General features: G+C 42.0%; 1 protein-coding gene and 2 pseudogenes across 2 annotated transcripts in view; 1 reads left to right on the top strand and 2 right to left on the bottom strand.

Annotated features, from left to right (window-relative positions):
- The window catches only part of XPO6 (exportin 6), a 113,990-nt gene that overhangs the window by 24,971 nt on the left and 70,017 nt on the right, over nucleotides 1–19,002 (top strand). For both annotated transcript variants that reach the window (NM_015171.4, NM_001270940.2), the window contains 4 exons: nucleotides 5,964–6,054; nucleotides 9,663–9,775; nucleotides 10,900–11,097; nucleotides 17,086–17,245. In NM_015171.4, coding sequence (NP_055986.1) covers nucleotides 5,964–6,054; nucleotides 9,663–9,775; nucleotides 10,900–11,097; nucleotides 17,086–17,245 — 562 coding nt within the window. The remainder of the gene's footprint in view (nucleotides 1–5,963; nucleotides 6,055–9,662; nucleotides 9,776–10,899; nucleotides 11,098–17,085; nucleotides 17,246–19,002) is intronic.
- Nucleotides 3,565–3,677, bottom strand: RNY1P10 (RNY1 pseudogene 10; annotated as a pseudogene).
- On the bottom strand, nucleotides 7,772–7,897 carry LOC124900376 (uncharacterized; annotated as a pseudogene).

Here is a 19,002-nt window from a genome sequence, read left to right as displayed (position 1 = left end):
CAGTTCTTTGAAGTTAGGGACCGTCTTACTCATCATTGTATCCCAGGGGCTTAATTTAAGCAATATCAGTTACTTAGTGAGTATTGAATTCTCATTTCTCCAACAAATAGCTGAGTTGCTTAGTCACTCCAGAATTAAAGCTAGGTTTAGAATAATTGGAGCGGTGTGATGGCATGTGCCTATAGTCTCAGCTTCTCAGGAGGCTGAAGTGGGGAGGATCGCCTGAGCCCAGGGGTTTGAGGCTGCAGTGAGCTGTGATTGTTCCACTGCACTCCAGTCTGGGGTGATACAGCAACACTCTGTCTCTAAAAAAAAAAAAAAATTAGGCTGAATGCAGAGGCTCCCACCTGTGATCCCAGCATTTTGGGAGGCCAAGGTGGGAGGATCACTTGAAGTCAGGTGTTCAACCCCAACCTCGGCAACAGAGCAAGACCCAGGCTCTACAAAAATGAAAATAAAAGCCAGATGTGGTGGCATGTGCCTGTAGTCTCAGCTATTTGAAGCTGAGGCAGGAGGATTGCTTGAGCCAAGGAGTTTGAGGCCTCAGTGAACTAGGATCATGCCACTGAACTCTAGCCTGGCAACAGAGACCATGTCTTTAGCAAAAAAAAAAAAAAAAAGAATAACTGGGGCAGAAAAATCTATATTTAAGAGAATTTATCTGGCGGTAAAGTACTGTTTGGATTGGAATTGGAAAACCTGGAAACCAGGTAAAAGCAATTATAGTAACGTAGGCAGGAGATGATTAGGGCTCCGTAGAAATAGTGGTGAGGGAGAAGGTACAAACCTGCAAAAGAGTGAGAAGCAACAGTCCGCAGACCTGATGGTGTTTGCTGTGGATGGAGAATATGGGGAAGAAGCAAAGGCGATCTCAAATTATGTCACCCTTCTGCTTCTTCCAAGTTTTAATTTTTTTAGGTGATTATGGGTCTTGGTGGACTTAGTAGTCCCTTAATAAATGAGTCAATGGCATAGATCTCTGAACTGCTGACCCATGAGCAGCAAAGTAAAAGGAGCAGATAAAGTCAGGGCAGGCACAGTTGCAAGCTTATCACCTTTGCAGTTTTAACTGTTTCTGGAACAGAAAACTTGGGTTTGTTTTAGATCTATGCAGAGCTCTCCAAGAGTATATTCTGAGCCAAGCTTAATTCGTCATCCTGCCCAAGGATTTTAAGTGTATGTGCCATTTGCTATTGAGGTGAGCCAAGTAACTCTTGGGGAAGCATAGGCTTATGGGGTTGTAATACCTTGTGCTGCCATCCTGGCAGCTCTGAAGACAAGAGATGGTTCCTAGAAATCAGGAGCCTCATGCTCACACTGTTACCTGCAGGCTTATTGCCAGTCCCCAGAGCCATAGTTGTGCTGATAGAGCTAAAATACAGTTTCTAAAGAGTCTGATAACACCAACCTGGACTTTAGAAATGAGGATTTTAAAACATTAAGTGTTTAAAATTGCAGTATATATTTACACAGAAGCAGATAAATTGTAAAGTTGATCATCTTTGTGTAACTAACACTCAGATAAAGAAATAGACTATTACCAGAATCCCTCCTCCTCCAAGGTAACCACTAGTCTGATTATAACACCATAGATAAGTTTTACTTATTTAAATTATTATTATTATTATTTTTTAAGAGGCAAGGTCTTGCTCTGTTGCCCAGGCTAGAGTGCATTGGTGCAATCATACCTCACTGCAGCCTTGAACTCCTGGGCTCGAGTGATCCTCTTGCCTCAGCCCCCCAAGTAGCTGGAATTATAGATGTGGGCCACTATGCCTGGCTTTTTTTTGTTGTTGTTGTTAAAATTAATATAAAGTGAATAATGAAAGGTTGTGTTTTGGTTTCTTTCACTCTACATTGTGTTTGTGAGATTCATCTGTGTTGTTGCATGTAGCAATATTAATTCCTGTTGTCTTATAATATTCTCCTCTATCAAGAAATCACTATTCATCCATTCCAGTGGTGACGGATATTTGGGTTCTTTTGACTTTTTGGGTATTGTGTATAATAGTGCTGTGAACATTTGTGTATGTTTTCGTTTGGTATACATGTAAAAATTTCTGTTGGGTATATATCAAGGAGTAGAATTGCAGGGTCATAAGATATGCATATGTTTAGCTGTCAGTTTTCTAGAGTGGTTGTACCAGTGTATACTCCCACCAGCAGTACATGCATGTGCTGGTTGCTCAGCCTCCTCATCAACACTTATTATTGTCAGTCGTTTAAATTTTAGCCTTTCTGGTAGATGTGTAGCACTATCTTATTTTAAATTTGTATTTTCCTGATAACTAATGAGGCTGAACACTTATTTATAGGCTTTTTGAATACCCTCTTTTATAATTAATTATTTGCCTGTCCAAAAAAATTGAAGTCCTTTGTCTTTTTTTTTTTTTTTACTGATTTGTTGAAGTTATTTTATGCTCTGATATGAGTTCCCTGTTTCCATATTGCAGATAGCTCCTATTTTGTGGCTTTCTTTTACACTCTCTCCATTGTGCCATCTGATGAACATTTCAACTTACCAGTCTTTTCCTTTATGGTTAGTGGTTTATGTGTTCTGTTTAAGAAATTTTTCCCTACCCCTAGCTCGTGAAGATACTCTGTATCTACAATCCAACTGGAATTTTTGTGTGTGAATGTGTCTCACTTAGTTTTAAACTTATCTTACCTTTCCTTAGTTTGTCAAGATCTGTCTGAGGCTTAAATCCCAAGCACAAGGTAGGAGGCAGTCAGATAAATTTTCTTATTCTTCATAAATTAATGCAGCGCAGGAGATAAAGTTTTTGAATAGCCTTTGGGAATGGAAGCCTTGTCTCCCTACCACACGATGGCACTTGGATTTTGTTTTATGTTCTTTGTCCCTTTCATTACTTGAAAGTGTAATCTGCTTGGAGTATTACCTCTTCCTCACTTGCAGTTAATTCCTTAACTCACCCAATCTACTTTCTGGCTTCACCACTTGCTTGAAACAGCTGGCCAAGGTTCCGGTGGCTTTGTTGCCAAACGGGAGCCAGGGAATTCTCCAGTATCCTTGAACCAGTATCCTTGAATGTGCCTTCTATGTCTTTTCTACCTCTGTTCTGATTGTGTGATGTTAGCAAATTCTTGGCCTCCTGATTTTTCCCGCCTATACATTTTACATAGCTTCATTTTGAAATCTAGTCTGAAAAGCCCCACTAGATATGATTGGGAGAAAGCCCTTAAACCTGAGGGCATGAGTCTCTAGTTTCAAAGTAGGCCTGACCACTTTTGTTGTTTTGCTTTGGTCTGTTTTCATTTGGTATCTAAGACCAAATAAAAATGAGATCAGCCATAACTACAGATTAGATAATTCCTTATGGTTTATGTAGCAGTTTTACATGGATCGCCTGATTGGATCTCATATCACCCTGTGAGGCAGGTATTGTTGTTACAGATATAGAAATGATTAAAAATGCAAACAGCACTTATTTGTTCTTGTTGAGAAACACCTGGTAATGCCCCGGATTTGGTTTTGGAGCTTCCTTTTTCATGTAGCCATCATTTAATGGGAAAATGCATCTGGGTTTTTTTTTTTTTTTTTTTTTTAAACTAGTGAAGTGTAGTAGTGAGAACGGGGGAAAGAGTAGAACAAGGAGTTGGATCTGTAACTGACTGCAAACAGTCCAGTGAGATAACTCAGTACCTTTGGGCCAGCCCATCTGGGATTCTTAGGAGTACTTTTGTCCTTCCACTTTCTGCAGGAACTGTAACTTCTTGGGTTGGGGCAGAGAGTAAAGGGTAGATGGGACTGGGAATGGTGGCAGAGTTGGATTCTTTTTGGAGATTATCAGGAACTTTCCAGTAATCATTTATTTCTCAGATCTCTTCCTCAAGAATCTAGTACTAAATAAATGGTGGTGGTTGATTGCCTGGATGTGATAAGCTCAAGTTTGCTGCAGGATCTACTTTAAAATGATTCAACACAAGAAGTTATGGAGAGATATGATTTGCAGATGTGTCCTTAGTTTCCAGGAACACATTTTGGCTCCAGAAGAACTATTGATTTATTTTAACATGTGCTATTTTTTTTGATTCTTCTGCATCTTCCCACAGCCTTTTTATTTTAAATAGCAAATCCTTTTTTCAAATGAAATGGCACACCAGACTCGATTTATGAAACAGACTACGGCGTTCTTTTATTATGTACACTCATTTTAGAGGTTTGCATTTATAGCATTTATTTATAAAGTCAGTGAGAACAGTGAGGCTGTTTTGATCAACACAAACACTTGAAACATTTTAGAAGATTGCAGTCTTATTTTAGCTTCACTTTTCAGTTTATTTTTGGGTTTGAAAAAATAGATAGTTTTTAATAAAACAGCTTGGCTTGCAAGCCAAGGATATTTTTTAGTTAAACCGATATGGAAGTCTGAAAGAGGAGTAGGGGGCTAGGCTAATCTTTATCCTAAATACAAAGTTCAGGGAAGAAAGTCTCTCTCACTCACAAGCGCTCAAAGTATTGTACAATAATTCATCATTCAGTGTGTCGCAGTTCAGGTGTCATTGCAGAGCCATCATTCTGTGACCTCAGTGTGGGAGGAACGTGGCCCTGTGTTCTGTGTAGTGAGTGCACTTGTGTGTGTTGGTTGGTGTGCACACGCTTATGAATCAAGTCTGATTCAGCCTCTGTAATTGGTACTGAGAAGTGCTGGTTTTTCCTCAGAGATGAAAATTTGTTCCTCAGTCTTCACAAAGTCAATCACCCGACGGAGGCCGCTGGTATACTACAGTTTGACATGTGACACATTTGAGTGTGGGCTTGTTGTTTTAAAATGCAGTTTTTATAGTCAGGTCTCAGTCCATGGTTGATGGAGAGGATATGGGGAAGGGAGATAGGTGGGAAGAAAGAAGTTAAGAGATAATTAAATAATCACAACTGCTGCTGGCTCTTGATTATGTCTGGGGTAGAATTATACCAGTGATGACTCAAAAATGGTTTGGGAATGGTTACCTTTTTGCAGGCAGGTTGTGTGAAGGAGTGTTAACTCAAGGTCATTCCTGCGACTCCTACTTGAGTAAGAATAAAGGAAGTGGGTTTTGGGGCTCCATATGAACCCCAAAGGGAGGGGATGGGTACTGGGGGCCTTGAGCTGCCTCTCCTCTCATTTCCAACCTGAGCAGTTCTGCTGAGAGTCTGGCTCTCACTGTGGGCCTGTGGTTTACAGGAGCTAATTTTGAATCCCTAGTTAGCTTGGCTCTCAGCTGCACTTTAATCTCTGTTGGCTGCTCACGTGAGATTGAGAATTGACTGTATGACTCCTGGAATGCCTTCAAAAACCTCCAAGAATCCATGGCCAGTTGCAGTGAATGACTCACACTTGTAGTCCCATTGCTTTGGGTGGCTGGGATGGGAAGATCGCTTGAGCCCAGGAATTCAAGGCTGCAGTGAGCTATGATTGCACCACTATACTCCAGCCTGGGCAAACAGAGACCCTGTCTCTTAAAAAAAAAAAAACCACTCTCCCTGGTTACCCCCCAAACCCCTGAGAATCCATGAAGCTGTTTGATATAAGTGCTGTGAATCAAAATATGACAAATTATTCAGACACAGGGGAAATGTATCAGGGATGAATAGTCTATGAGGAGTTCTGGCCTTCTTGAATCTCTCTGCTCTGCCCATTCAGGAAGGGCCAGGGGCTAATTTGCTTTCAATCATTATTCCAGAGTTGAATTTTGAATTTCCCCTTTTCTTAGCATACATAATTGAAAATCAGCTGCACAGTAGCATGAATTTATAGAGGATGCAACAACAACGTTGGGTTTTGAGCCAGCTGGGAAATTCCCTTCAGTTTTTTCTGGCATATACCATGCATTTGAAGAATGTTGAACCAAGATTTTGAGGAAGTAAATTGCTCTTGCTGTTGAATGTGACCTAGAAGGAACTGAGGAACAGTGGAACTGAAGATGCAGCTTATTGATTTTTTTTCAAATTCCTTTGTTAGGCATCTGAAGAAGCCTCTCTCAGGGCATTGGAAAGTCTGATGACAGAATTTTTTCACGATTGTACAACCAATGAAAGAAAACGTGAGATAGGTAAGTGGAGCATTGACTTGTAAAGAGGAATTTATAATGAGGAGGCCCTGGTAGGGAGGAAGGAGTTGTTCGTAGCCGTGACTGGTCAAGTCTGCGTGCTTTCCACTTGAATTCTTGCTCTTTTCGCTCTGGTTCTGTTGGCTGGTGGCTGGGGAAACCCCTCCACTTGACCAAAGGAAAGAAAATCCATCACTGTGGATCTTAATTTCAGCAATGTTGTTGAACTTTCATATAAGAAGCCTGCGACTTTTTGGTGGGGGCGTCTAGGGTGGGGTGGGACAGGGTCTTGCTATGTTGCCCAGGCTGGTCTTGAACTCCTGGCCTCAAGTGATCCTTCCATCTCAGCCTCCTGAATAGCTGGGATTATAAGCGGGAGCCACTGCACCTGGATGGTTATTTAAAGAGAAACAGTAACAACTCAGGAAAGTGTCAAAATGAACATGTTTTGCTGTGCAGACGTCTGATCTGAACCTAATAGTGCCCAGAAATCCCATAACTGGTATTACTTTTGGGGGCTTCCCACTGCCTGGGCAATGTAAGATCCTGTCTCAAAAAAAAATTTTTTTGTTTTGTTTTTGAGACGGCGTCTCATTCTGTTGCCCAGGCTGGAGTTCATGGGGCGATCTCGGCTCACTGCAACCTCCGCCTCCTGGGTTCAAGCGATTCTCCTGTCTCAGCCTCCCGAGTTGCTGGGATTACAGGTGCCCACCACCACCCCCGGCTAATTTTTTGTATTTTTAGTAGAGACGGGGTTTCACCGTATTAGCCAGGTGGGTCTTGAACTGACCTCAAGAGATCTGCCCACCTCGGCCTCCCAAAGTGCTGGGATTACAGGTGTGAGCCACCGTGCCTGGCCATTAGTCTTCGATATTCTGACACTCTACTGTATTCTTTGAAGTCTTGTTTTAGATTATAATTGAAATGCTTTTGATTCTTTTAATTTTTGGTTTGTAAATCAAATATTTCTCACCTTCTATTTCATGAATTAAACGTAGAACCTTCTGAACATGTTCATATTCTAATCTGATCTTAAAAGAGATTTAAGTAGCCAAATGCTCCAGATGCCAAATTTGAGTGCAGGCTGAGGGGAATCCAGGGGTTTGTTTCTATACAGTAGGCTTGTCTTAGTTCAGTTCTCTTTGTACCTAGTCATTGTAGCTTTATTTGAGTGTGTGGACTTGGACTACTTATTGCTTCTTTTCTATGGTCTTGGGATAAACTCTAGGCTTTTCCTAGTTTGGTCAGAGAAAGGAAGGAAGCCTTTTCTTCAAAGGGCTCCACCCACCCTCCAGCAAAGGTAAATCACTAGTGCTCTAGAAATTGATAGAGCTGTTAGCAGGGACCTCGAGACCATGTGGTCATTGTAGAGTGGAGGAAACAGAAGCATCAAGGGGGAGCAGTGACTCACCTGGGGTCAGACTCAGAGTCTAGAACAGAGCCCAGAGTTCCTCAGTTCCAGTCTGGTTTGACTTCACTTTGGGGATTCACAGAAACCTTTGCTTAATTATTAGGGCAGGCTGTTAGCTTCCTTTTATGGATTTGTAATTAACTTTTATTTTTATTAAAATAATGTTTTTGACTAGGCATGGTGGCCCATGCCTGTAATCTCAGCACTTTGGGAGGTCAAGGCGGGTGGATCACTTGAGCCCAGGGGTTTGAGACCAGTCTGGGTAATATAGCAAGACTCCATCTCTACAAAAATATGTTTCCCCCCTTTTCTTATGTCTCCTCAGGAAAACAGCACCATTGAGTGCTATGGCGTCCTATAGAGAACTTCAGTCTTTGGTCATAGCATTAAGAGCTCATGGTTTCATAGCCCCACGAGCCCTCTTTGAAATGATCTAAAATTAAAAGGCTTGGATTTTTTTTTTTTTTGAAATGGTGCCTCACTCTGTCGCCAGGCTGGAGTGCAGTGGCGCAATCTTGGCTCACTGCAAGCTCTGCCTCCCGGGTTCAAGCGATTCTCCTGCCTCAGCCTCCCAAGTAGCTGGGACTAGAGGCACTTGCCACTACGCCCAGCTAATTTTTGTATTTTTAGTAGTGACGGGGTTTCGCCATGTTGGCCAGGATAGTCTCGATCTCTTGACCTCGTGATACACCCGCCTTGGCCTCCGAAAGTGCTGGGATTAACGGGCATGAGCCAATGGGCCCGGCCTTTTTTTGTTTTTTTTTTTTTGTTTTGTTTTGTTTTAAGAGATAGGATTTTGCTCTATCACTCAGGCTGGGTGTAGTGGCGTGATCATAGCTCATTGCAACCTCGGCCTCCTGGGCTAAAGCTTCAGGCACACCAAAGCATGTTCATTTTGACACTCTCCTAAGTTGTCGAGTTTTTTTTTTTCTTTAAATAGCCATCTGTGCGTGGTGTCTCATGCTTATAATCCTAGCTATTCAGGTGGCTGAGACAGGAGGATCACTTGAGGCCAGGAGTTAAAGACCAGCCTGGGCAACAGAGCAAGGTCTCCTCCTGCCTCAGCCTCTTGATTAACTAGGACTACAGGCACTTACCACCATATCTAGTTAAGTTTTTCATTGTTTTGTAGAGACAGGGTCTCAGTGTTGCCCAGGCTGGTCTTTCAACTCCTGGCCTCAAGCAGTCCTCCTGCCTCAGCTTCTCAAAGTGCTGGGATTACAGATGTGAGCCACTGTGCCTGGCCTTTCCATGGATTTTTTAATGAGACTGCGTCGTTGCATTTAGCTTAAGTTGTAGGGAACTAGCAGAGCAATGACTTGAGGATTAGAAGAAGCTGCTGTGTGTTCTGCTTTTCCAAAGGCTTTCTAGAATCTCTCAAGGTTGTGGGCCTTTGCACTTTTACCCTTTTTGGATTATATTTCATGACCAGTGCAGCAGGTCAAGGTGACTAAGGGACAGCATGTCCAGAAACATGATGGTAGCCCCGTAATGCTTGCTGCCTTGTGGGTTCTGGCTGATGCCATCAGCAGCCTCAGGAGGAGGAAAACCGTTTCTAACCAACGTGATGTGTGGACAGGGCTACTCGCCGCAACACTCGTCATCGTTGCTCTTGCCACCGGTCGATTCACTTTTTTGGTGGCAGTGTTTTAAAATAAAACCAACCCAAATGAAGAGTTAGCCGTTTTGAATTCTCTTGCATTTTTTTCCTTTCCTATCTTTGTAGAATTAGTCTTAATCTTTTCTTTTTCTGCCTTTCTAGCCGTCATTTTGTGTGTGTGAACAATGTAGGCTCCACTGAAGATTTGTAGAGGAATGGCGAGGCCCTAGAATGTAGCTCATATTCAGACGAAGTAAGTTAGCTAGCAGTTTTAAGAAGATGGAAGGGTACTCTTAGAACATTCCAGCCACACATTAGCTTAAATAAGAACTTTAGCAGTGAAAGTTTCTCTGCCTAGAGAAATATCCATAGCGAGGTTATTGGCTTTTAGGTGGCTGAAAACATTGTCAGTGTCCATGGTCACCTCAGACGCAGAAAAATATTGTATGATTTATTCTTTCTATCTTAAAGAATCCGCTGGTTTTGACATCATTTACATTATATGCAGAGAGACATGTTTAAATAATAATAAGATAGCCCAGTCTTGTCTAATTTCATGTATTTTCATAGCTTTCTTTTGTTGCCATTTAACTTTTCCAGAGGAGCTTCTTAATAACTTTGCCCAGCAAATAGGAGCCTGGAGATTCTGCCTGTACTTTCTCTCCAGCACTAGGAATGACTATGTAATGATGTACAGTTTAACAGTTTTTGAGGTAAGTTGTCAGTAATTTTATACTCTTCTGAAAAGGATTTTGTAGTTCTATTGCCATATCATTAGCACTAGACTAGAGCTGTAATGTGCTGGGAGAGGGTAGCTCAGCTCTGGGATGTCGTCCCACATACTGTCTTTATGTAGTTGTCTGGTGTTTGGGGCATCTTCCATCTTCCACACTAGAAAGGTAAGATGGATGGTTGACTTTAGGGTTAAGTAGGTAGGTCATTTGTGGTAACATGTAACTATTCCCTGCCTGTTATCATTGATAAAGGAAAGATAATTAAATAAAAACATTTTAGGAGGAGAAATAATAACCATAATACCATCATCCCCAACAACAAAAAGTTTTATTTATCACCTCTCTTCCAATCCTTGTCTTCTGTGCCCCCCTTTAAAAAGCCTAACTGTAGGCCGGGCGCAGTGGCTCATGCCTGTAATCCCAGCACTTTGGGAGGCCGAGGCGGGTGGATCAATGAGGTCAGGAGATGGAGACCATCCTGGCTAATAAGGTGAAACCCCGTCTCTACTAAAAATGCAAAAAAAAAAAAAAAAATTAGCCGGGCGTGGTGGCGGGTGCCTGTAGTCCCAGCTACTCTGGAGGCTGTGGTAGGAGAATGGCATGAACCCGGGAGGCGGAGCTTGCAGTGAGCTGAGATTGCACCACTGCACTCCAGCCTGGGCGACAGAGCGAGACTCCGTCTCAAAAAAAAAAAAAAAATCTAATTGTAATCATATTGCCCATGCTATTTTGTATTCTACTTTTCCCCACTTTATTTTATATCCCCACATGTGGTTATGACATTATTCACCAAGGCATGCTCCTGTTTTTGAACATTGAAGTTGCTTCTGTCATTATATTTTGGTGGCCATTAGAGACAGTGGTGTAAAAAAGTTTTTGCACATACAGCTTTTTGTTTCTGTTATTTGGCAGTTCTTCCTAGGAATGGGACTGTTGTGTCCTAAGATTTGAATACTTTTATTATTCTTATTGCCATATTGCCCCAAACCTTTATTTAAAGAGGGATTCTTGTTTATTGAAGTGATAATAGCTACCTGTGGGATGAAAAGCAGTTATTTTTGTGTATAGGTTGTTAACTTAAAAGATGTATATTTGTTTTTCAGAATCTGATCAATAAAATGTGGCTTGGGGTCCCATCTCAGGATAAGATGGAAATCCGTAGCTGTCTGCCCAAACTCCTTTTGGCTCACCATAAAACCTTACCTTACTTTATCCGGAACAAGCTCTGCAAAGTTATTGTTGATATTGGACGTCAGGATTGGCCCATGTTCTACCACGACTTTTTTACTAACATTTTACAGGTAAGGATATGCCTAAGGAAACTTTATCTTGTGAATAGTTTGTTTGTTGAAGTGATTATTTCCTTGTCCTGAAGAGGACTTTTAAGATTAGCAGTTTGGAACTGCAGTAGTGAGGTTATTGTAGGACTGATTATCGCATTCACTTTATATTTATAAGACATATTGTATCTTTGTGAGGTGGAGAAAGTGGGGGAGAAAAACTTAATCTCTTTTTAACCTCTTGTGCAGTTTGTTCAGCCAGTATTTGAAAGCCTGTTAGGTGCTGTACTAGGTGTTGGGGGTACAAGGGTGAGGCTTTCAGTAGTTTCGGCGTTTAGTGGGGGAAATAGCTGTGCAAACAGTGATTACTCAACAATATGGTAATTATTGTGGAAGTATATGCAGAGTGCTATGGTGGCATAGCATGTAGACTTGGTGTTGTTGGGCTGAGATGTGAGATGGTGAAGTGGCAGAGTAAGGGGCTAGATTGATGGGCAGAGGCCAGGCCAGGAAGGGTTGGGGGGTTCCATTGTGCAATTCGTAGTTTTTCCTAGGGAGCTAATGAAAAGTTTTGGGGAGGGAGAAAACATGGCTACATGTTTATGGTGGAATGATGGCTAGCTGGGGTCTGGATTGCAGAGGGGCGAGGTGAGAGGGAAAGAGGCAGGGTGTAGAGGATCTGAGCCAAAAGGAGACGACCTGGTGGGTGGAGGTGAGGCACCCAGGGGATGGGGGCAGGAGGCCAGTGACAATAGGTGAGAGGGGAGAGAAGGGAGGAATCTAGAATGACTTCCAGTTTTCTGGCTCAGATAGATTTTTCAGGCCAGGGTTGAAAGAAGGGGAATGAATTTGGGCAGAAGATGGTGAATTCAGTTTGATAGAAAATGCATTTAAAATTTGTGTGTTCCTTCTTTGTAATAACTAATGAGACATTAGGAAGTGTGGATCTGGGATCAGGATTTGGAAGTCAGAAGGGAGTAACTGGGACCTAAAAGCTACGAGGGAGATGCTGTTGCTCATTTGAATCCTGTGATCAAGTTGGAAACATTTTCATGTATTGAGCTAGTCTTGGGTATGCAGGAAGTGGGTATTATATACAGTTTATAGAAATAAAGTTCTTTGAAAATTGTTTATAGTCTCAGTGACTGTAGGATTTTCCAGAACAATATCATTTTCTAATGTTCTGCCTGCTCTTCATACAAACCATTTTAATGATGCAGCAATTCAAAAAGAATTCAGCATCCAAAGTGCTTCTCTCAGATTGTCTCTCAAAGGGGCACAAAAATTCTTCATTTAGTTTTGTTTTGTACAGTGCTTCATTTATCTAGAGATTTATTGGGTTGTTACTGCAAAGGAGATTCATGCCTTTATTCAAGTAAACTATTTGTTGAACACTAAGCACATGAGGGGATATAGTAATGAACAAAGACCAAGTCCCTGCCTTCCTGGAATTTATGATCTCAGGGCGGGGATGAGGGCATCAACGAACAATAAACAGGTACACACTTGGAGGTATTTATAAGTATGATGAGAACTCAATCCAGGGAAGGGGAAAGAAACTAGCGGGGGTTGTGTTTAGATGGGATGCTCGTAGAAGGCTTTTCTGGGGACAGACATTTGAGCAGAAACCTGAGTGGGGGTGATGGCGTGCACCACGTGGGTATCTAGGGGAACAGTATTTTGGGCAGAGAGAATAGGAAGTGCACAGGACCTGAGGAATGGCAAGCAGGCCAGTAGGCCTGGACTGGGGGGACACGAGGTGGGAGACACTTCCCTGGCGTTCTGTCCAATACACTTGCCTTCAATCCAAGTTGAGGACGGTTATGGTAACCCTCTCCAAGGCTCTCTTAAGTGGGCGTCAGGGAAGCCCACTGGAGACAGGAAAGACCAAGAGGGTTGGGAGTCTAAGTGAACCTATTCCTGGGTTGGTTAGTGGTGCGTCCTGTGACAAGAAGAGAGGGACCTTGAGACGGAGAGTCACAGGCCTGATGATAGCAGGTAAGGTGGAGCCACAGTTCCACCGCTGGGATTGGTCCCTTTGATGAAGAACAGAACGTTTCCTGGCTACATTTGAAGTATAATTATTTGTAACAAAAGATGGATTTGGAAGAGAGCACTTTTAGGTGAAGGGCTTCTGGAGGTTTAAAAAGGCTAATTGTCCACTGTTCTCCACCACCTCCCGCTTTCAACCCCTTCAGTATTGACTCCTTTAACCTCATGTAGCTTTCGTGACTTTGAAACACCATGTAGTAGAAGGAGCCAGACTGTGAGGCAGCAGGTTTGGGTTCTGCACCCAACTTTGTGTAAAGTCTTCTTTTTCTTTTCTTTTATTTTAATAAATAGAGATAGAGTCTCACTATGTTGCCTAGGCTGGTCTTGACTTCTTGGCCTCAAGTGATTTTCCTGCCATGGCCTCTCAAAGTGCTAGGATTATAGGCGTGAGCTACTGCCCCTAGCCTAAAGTCCCCTTTGATTTTAGCACCTCCTGCCACTTAGGTAAGCTTCCCTTTCTTTCTTTGTAAAATGAGAGGGTTGGACTAAGTGATCTTTGAAATCCTTTCCAGTTGTGTTATGTCCTGCTTCTTATTTATTCTTGTGAACTAGACAATGGCATATAAGCCTTGTCAAGAATGATCAGTACTCAATGATCAGTGCCCAATTGCTGACATTTCTGATAATATAGTGGAGTTATCCCTCTGTATCCGTGGGGGATTGGTTCCAGGACCTCCTTGGATATCACAATTCATGGATGTCGAAGTCCCTGATATAAAAAGGCATAGTTTGCACGTAACCTATGCACATCCTTTTGTGTAGGTTAGACCATCTCTGGATTACTTCTAATACCTAATAGAAGGTAAGTGCTCTGTAAATAGTTGTTATACTGTATTGTTTAGGAAATAATGATAAGAAAAAACTATACATGTTTACTACAGATGCAGCCATTTTTTCTTCTTTTTCCTGATTATGTTCTATCTGTGGTTGTTTGAACCCTTGGATACAGAACTCATGGATATGGAGGGCTAACTGTAAACATTTTCTTCAGGTATTGGTAAATAATGCCAAACTGGTTCTGGAATCCATTTCACCATCACTTGATCCTTTGAGTAAATCATCTCAAGGGTTTTTTTTTGGCTCATGTTGTGTTTGCAGTCTGGGGTGCATGGTTTTGTTTTTTTTAAACGCTGTGACAGTTTGTTGGGTGGTATCTATGCAGTTTTTGTTATAATTGTGGTGACCACCATAACCAGATAGAGAGGGGTTGATTTGGTAACCCAGCCTTACGTGCGGTGGGTTGGTTATACCCTTTCTAGGCTCCTGGAGAAGTAATCGAAATTGAAACCGACCGCTTTCCTTCCCACCTGCCTGCATATACGTCAGCACACACATAACACTAATGGTTCTAGAACCTGTTCTTCAAATTCCTGAAGTCTGTTGAGCAGAACCTGTGGTCACATTGTACGTGGGGCTAGAGACTTAAGGGGCAAGCAGCATAGGAGAGAATTGCTGTTTCTTCTGTTGGGTCGTGTAATAAAAACAATGGAACCTTTTCAGAAGTTCACGCTAGAAACCTGAACTTGTTCTTCAACCTGCAGGAGCTTATTGTCTGTTAAATTGCAGAGATTACCTATGTTACAGGCTTAAATTATAGATGTGAAGATGGTAAAGGGAGACACTATTTTAATCAAAAGCTTCCTGGGTACAAAGCTAATGAGAGGAAAAATTATACATTTTATCAAGCTCTTTTTCAAGTAAAGAATAGCTTTCTTTTTTCATCTGGCTTCTTGCCTGACCTTCTCCCCTTCCCCTAAATGGTGAGAGGAAGGAGAGCTTGCAGATAGATTTTCCATATCGTAGGGGATTTTTATATCTGGGAAGCACAGCATTTCATATTTATAGGAGGGTGTATATTGCCAAATGGGATATTTGGCATTACGAGTCATTTCCAGCTGAGAGAGTAAGGATGCAGCCTGGAGGGGAAAATAGAGACAAAAGAGGTAGAGGAGAAAGAAAGGAAAAGGAGGAAGTAATGGGAATCTTTTAGAATATAGACTGATAAGCCAAAGGTCTCCAAATGGAAAGAGATGCTTACCAAGGATCAGTTCTATTTCATTGTGTGAAGAGAAATTTCCTGTCCTCCCTACACTGCATGATCTGAATTTAAGTCAGTGTTAGAAATAGGCCCAATTTGTAGAAAACGAAGATAAAAATTGTGGAGAATATACAAAGTTTTAGTGTTCAAGAGACCTGAATTTATAGAGAGCATTTTAAACACATCATTCATTGCTGCTGGTTACCTAGTGCTGCTTCTGAAGACACTTGAATTTACCTTAAGTTCCCATTATTGAGTACTTGTCCTGTTCTTTAGGGGTGAGCTTTTCCTTGCTTTGTGATAGGGAGAGTTATTTCTAAGGGAAAGGAATGTACCCTGTATTTCTTTCTTTTTCTTTTTTTTTTTTTTTTTTTTTGAGACAGAGTCTTGCTCTCTTGCCCAGGCTGGAATACAGTGGGGTGATCTTGGCTCACTGCAACCTTTGCCTCCTGGGTTCAAGTGATCCTCCTGCCTCAGCCTCCTGAGTAGCTGGGACTATAGGCGCCTGCCACCACACCCGGCTAATTTTTGTATTTTTAGTAGAGATGGAGTTTCACCATGTTGGCCAGGTTGGTCTCGAACTGCTGACCTCAAGTGATAAAGTGCTGGGATTACAGGCATGAGCCACCACGCCCAGCCCGTACCCTGTATTTCTTGAAGTGAAGAATATAAAGTCTGTATGGGTGCAGTTCCTGAGTGTTCTGCTCTTCCCTAAAGTTTATATATTTTTTTAGCTTAAGTAAAAAAAAAAAAAAAGTGTGTCAGGGAATTAACTACATTTAAAGTTAAGATTAAGGAAAAACTTGAAGTGCTTTTCAAATTGTCTGCTCTTTTATAGATTGTAGCAATTAACTCAACAGATAATTTTAGTGGCAACTTGTTTACTTTTATCATTTCTGGAAATTAAAAAATAAGTGTAATAGTAATGCTTTGAATTTTGTAAAAATGATTAGGAAGATGTAAGTAGTGCTTTGCTGTTGAAGGCGTACTTTTTTTGTCTTGTTTAGTTAAACTTTCTTATGGTAGAGAGACTATTACACGTGATAGAAACAGCAACTTAATTTGCTACATGGGTATTTGCAAAATCCTAACTAATCTTAGTTTAATGACATGTATGTATGGTGTTGCTCTGCTATATTTAATCATGAACTTTTCTGAAGCATGCAAAGTTTAGAAGTGTAAAGTTGATTTAACAACATGCATATTGAAAAGACATCACAAATTGATTTACACATCTTAATCACTAATACAGATATAATTTATATACATACACACACAAAACTTGGCTACTAGACAAAGTAACAAAGGCTGTGTTAGGAATCTGGACATGTATAAAAATTGTCATGTTAGGTATAAAAGACCATTGTTTTCTAGCTGTTTTTAAGTTCATGGTATTAGAATTTTGTCCATAAAATATGATGAGAATGTATTTTGAATGGTTAAAAAGAGCTACCTAAATATCCTCTAAGTGATGTTTCTTTTTTTTTTTTTTTTTTGAGACAGAGTTTTGCTCTCGGTGCCCAGGCTGGAATGCAATGGCACGATCTCGGCTCACCACAACCTCCACCTCCTGGGTTCAAACGATTCTCCTGCCTCAGCCTCCCAAGTAGCTGGGATTGTAGGCATGCACCACCACACCCGGCTAATTTTGTATTTTTAGTAGAGACGGGATTTCTCCATGTTGGTCAGGCTGGTCTCTAACTCCCGACCTCAGGTGATCCGCCCGTCTCAGCCACCCAAAGTGCTGGGATTACAGGCGTGAGCCATTGGAGCTGGCCTCTAAGTGATGTTTCTGAAGTGTTGATTTATGTTCATGTAAGATTAAACACACACAGATGCTTCATAGCTTTAATGCTACTGAGTCCTCTTTGTACTTTATTAGTCCAACACTCTGCTCAGAACATGCTTTTTCCTGGCAGTTGATCCAGTCCCCTGTGACAACCCCCCTTGGGCTGATCATGTTGAAGACAACTTCAGAAGAGCTGGCTTGTCCCCGTGAGGACCTCAGTGTGGCTCGGAAGGAGGAGTTGCGGAAGCTGCTACTGGACCAGGTGCAGACAGTGCTTGGGCTACTGACAGGTGAGCAGTATGGTAGTGCCCAGAGATAGAGGCCTGCCCGCAGGCACCCAGAGTTCAGGCCTTGGCACTCAGCAGCTTTGAGCAGTTGTTTGCGCTGTTTCTGAGATAGCATGAAAATGGGAAGCTGCGTTCCCAACACCTATAGCCCAGGGTCTAGCACACAGTAGGACTACAAAATAGATTTGTACCTTATTTTCCTCGTAGTCTTTCACGAAGTGGTCTTCACTGTAACTGTGATCAGTGAGGTAGAGTCCAGGTCATAGGAGTATACCTACAGTGCCGATCACTGCATGGTAAGTTAGGTGGGTGGCAAGCACTCTATTTAAAATAATTTGAATTGAAGATCAGGAGAAGTTGGAGTAGGAGGATATGAAAATTTCCCGTTCTGGGTAAGGAAGTGAGACATGGTGTGGAGCCAGCCCCTTGTGCACTAGGTTGTAGTTGTATGTAGCATTTTGTCTTTTCTGTTTGATGAGAGCCTCATGACAAGGTGTAAAGGGTAAGAATAAACAGAAAGCAAACCACAACATGAGACAGGAAGGTAGGAGGAGAGGGGAGTGCCCTGGGTGACTGGGGTGGCTGCTGTGTGCTGCTGTGATACCTGTTTGCTAGGGAGACATGTATGCAATGCCTGGCCGTGAGGCCCTGAGGGTGCCGGGAGCCTGGGCTTGCTACTTGAGGGAATCTTGTAGTGAAAAGAAGTTTTTATCTCTAACTCCTTTATCCAGGCTTCTTCTTGGATGTCTAGGAACTTTCTTTATATCTCCAGTTTAGTGCTTGGCATGTGGTGGGCACTTAAAGTTGGCTGAAAGAACCATTGATTTAAAGTAAACTTGGGTTAGTGCAATGGCTCACACCTGTAATCCCAGTGCTTTGGGAGGCTGAGGTGGGAGGATCACTTGAGCCCAGGAGTTTGAGACCAGACTAGGCAACATATTGAGACCCCCATTTCTGGAAAAAAAAAAAAACAAAACAAAAAAGTTAGCTGGGTGTGATGATGCATGCCTGTAGTCCCAGCTACTCAGGAGGCTAAAGAAGGAGAATTGCTTGAGCTCAGGAGTTTGAGGCTGCAGTGACCTATGATCGTACCACTGCACTCCAGCCTGGGTGACAGAGTGAGACCCTGTCTCTTTAAAAAAAAAAAAAAGAAAAAGAAAAAGAACTTGGCATTTGTCCCCCCATCCTTCCCTAAAGCCCCAGGGGTAAACCTAAACCTTCAGAGTATTTATTCATTCAAAGCACTTTTTTTTTCTTTTTTCCTTTTTTTGAGACAGGATGTCTCTTTGTTGCTCAGGCTGGAGTGCGGTGATGTGAACATAGCTTACTGCAGCCTCAGATTTTGGGGCCTAAGCGATCCTTCCACCTCAGCCTCCCCAGAAGCTGGGACTACAGGCATGCGGCACCACGCCTGGCTAATTTTTGTATTTTTACTAGACATAGAGTCCCTGTATTGCCCAGGCTAGTCTCTAACTCTTAGGCTCAAGTGATCCTCCTGCCTTAGCCTCCCAAAGTGCTGAAGTTACAGGCATGAGCCACTGTGCCTGGTCTCAAAGCACATTTTTTGACACCCCAACTAAATGTTAAATTTCTAATGTTAGGGACCATGTTTTATACCTCTGTGTCCTACAGTGCCCAGCAGTATATTAAATATTTTAAAAATTGAGATAAAACTCACCATTTTAAAGTGCAATATTGACCGGCTTTTAGTATATTCTTGAGGTTGTGCAACCTTCACCGCTATCTAATTCCAGAACATT

Source organism: Homo sapiens, chromosome 16 (assembly GCF_000001405.40).
Source record: "Homo sapiens chromosome 16, GRCh38.p14 Primary Assembly".
Taxonomy (NCBI): Eukaryota; Metazoa; Chordata; class Mammalia; order Primates; family Hominidae; genus Homo; species Homo sapiens.
Note: the sequence above shows the minus strand (reverse complement) of the source record. Positions and strands in the feature narration are given on the sequence as shown.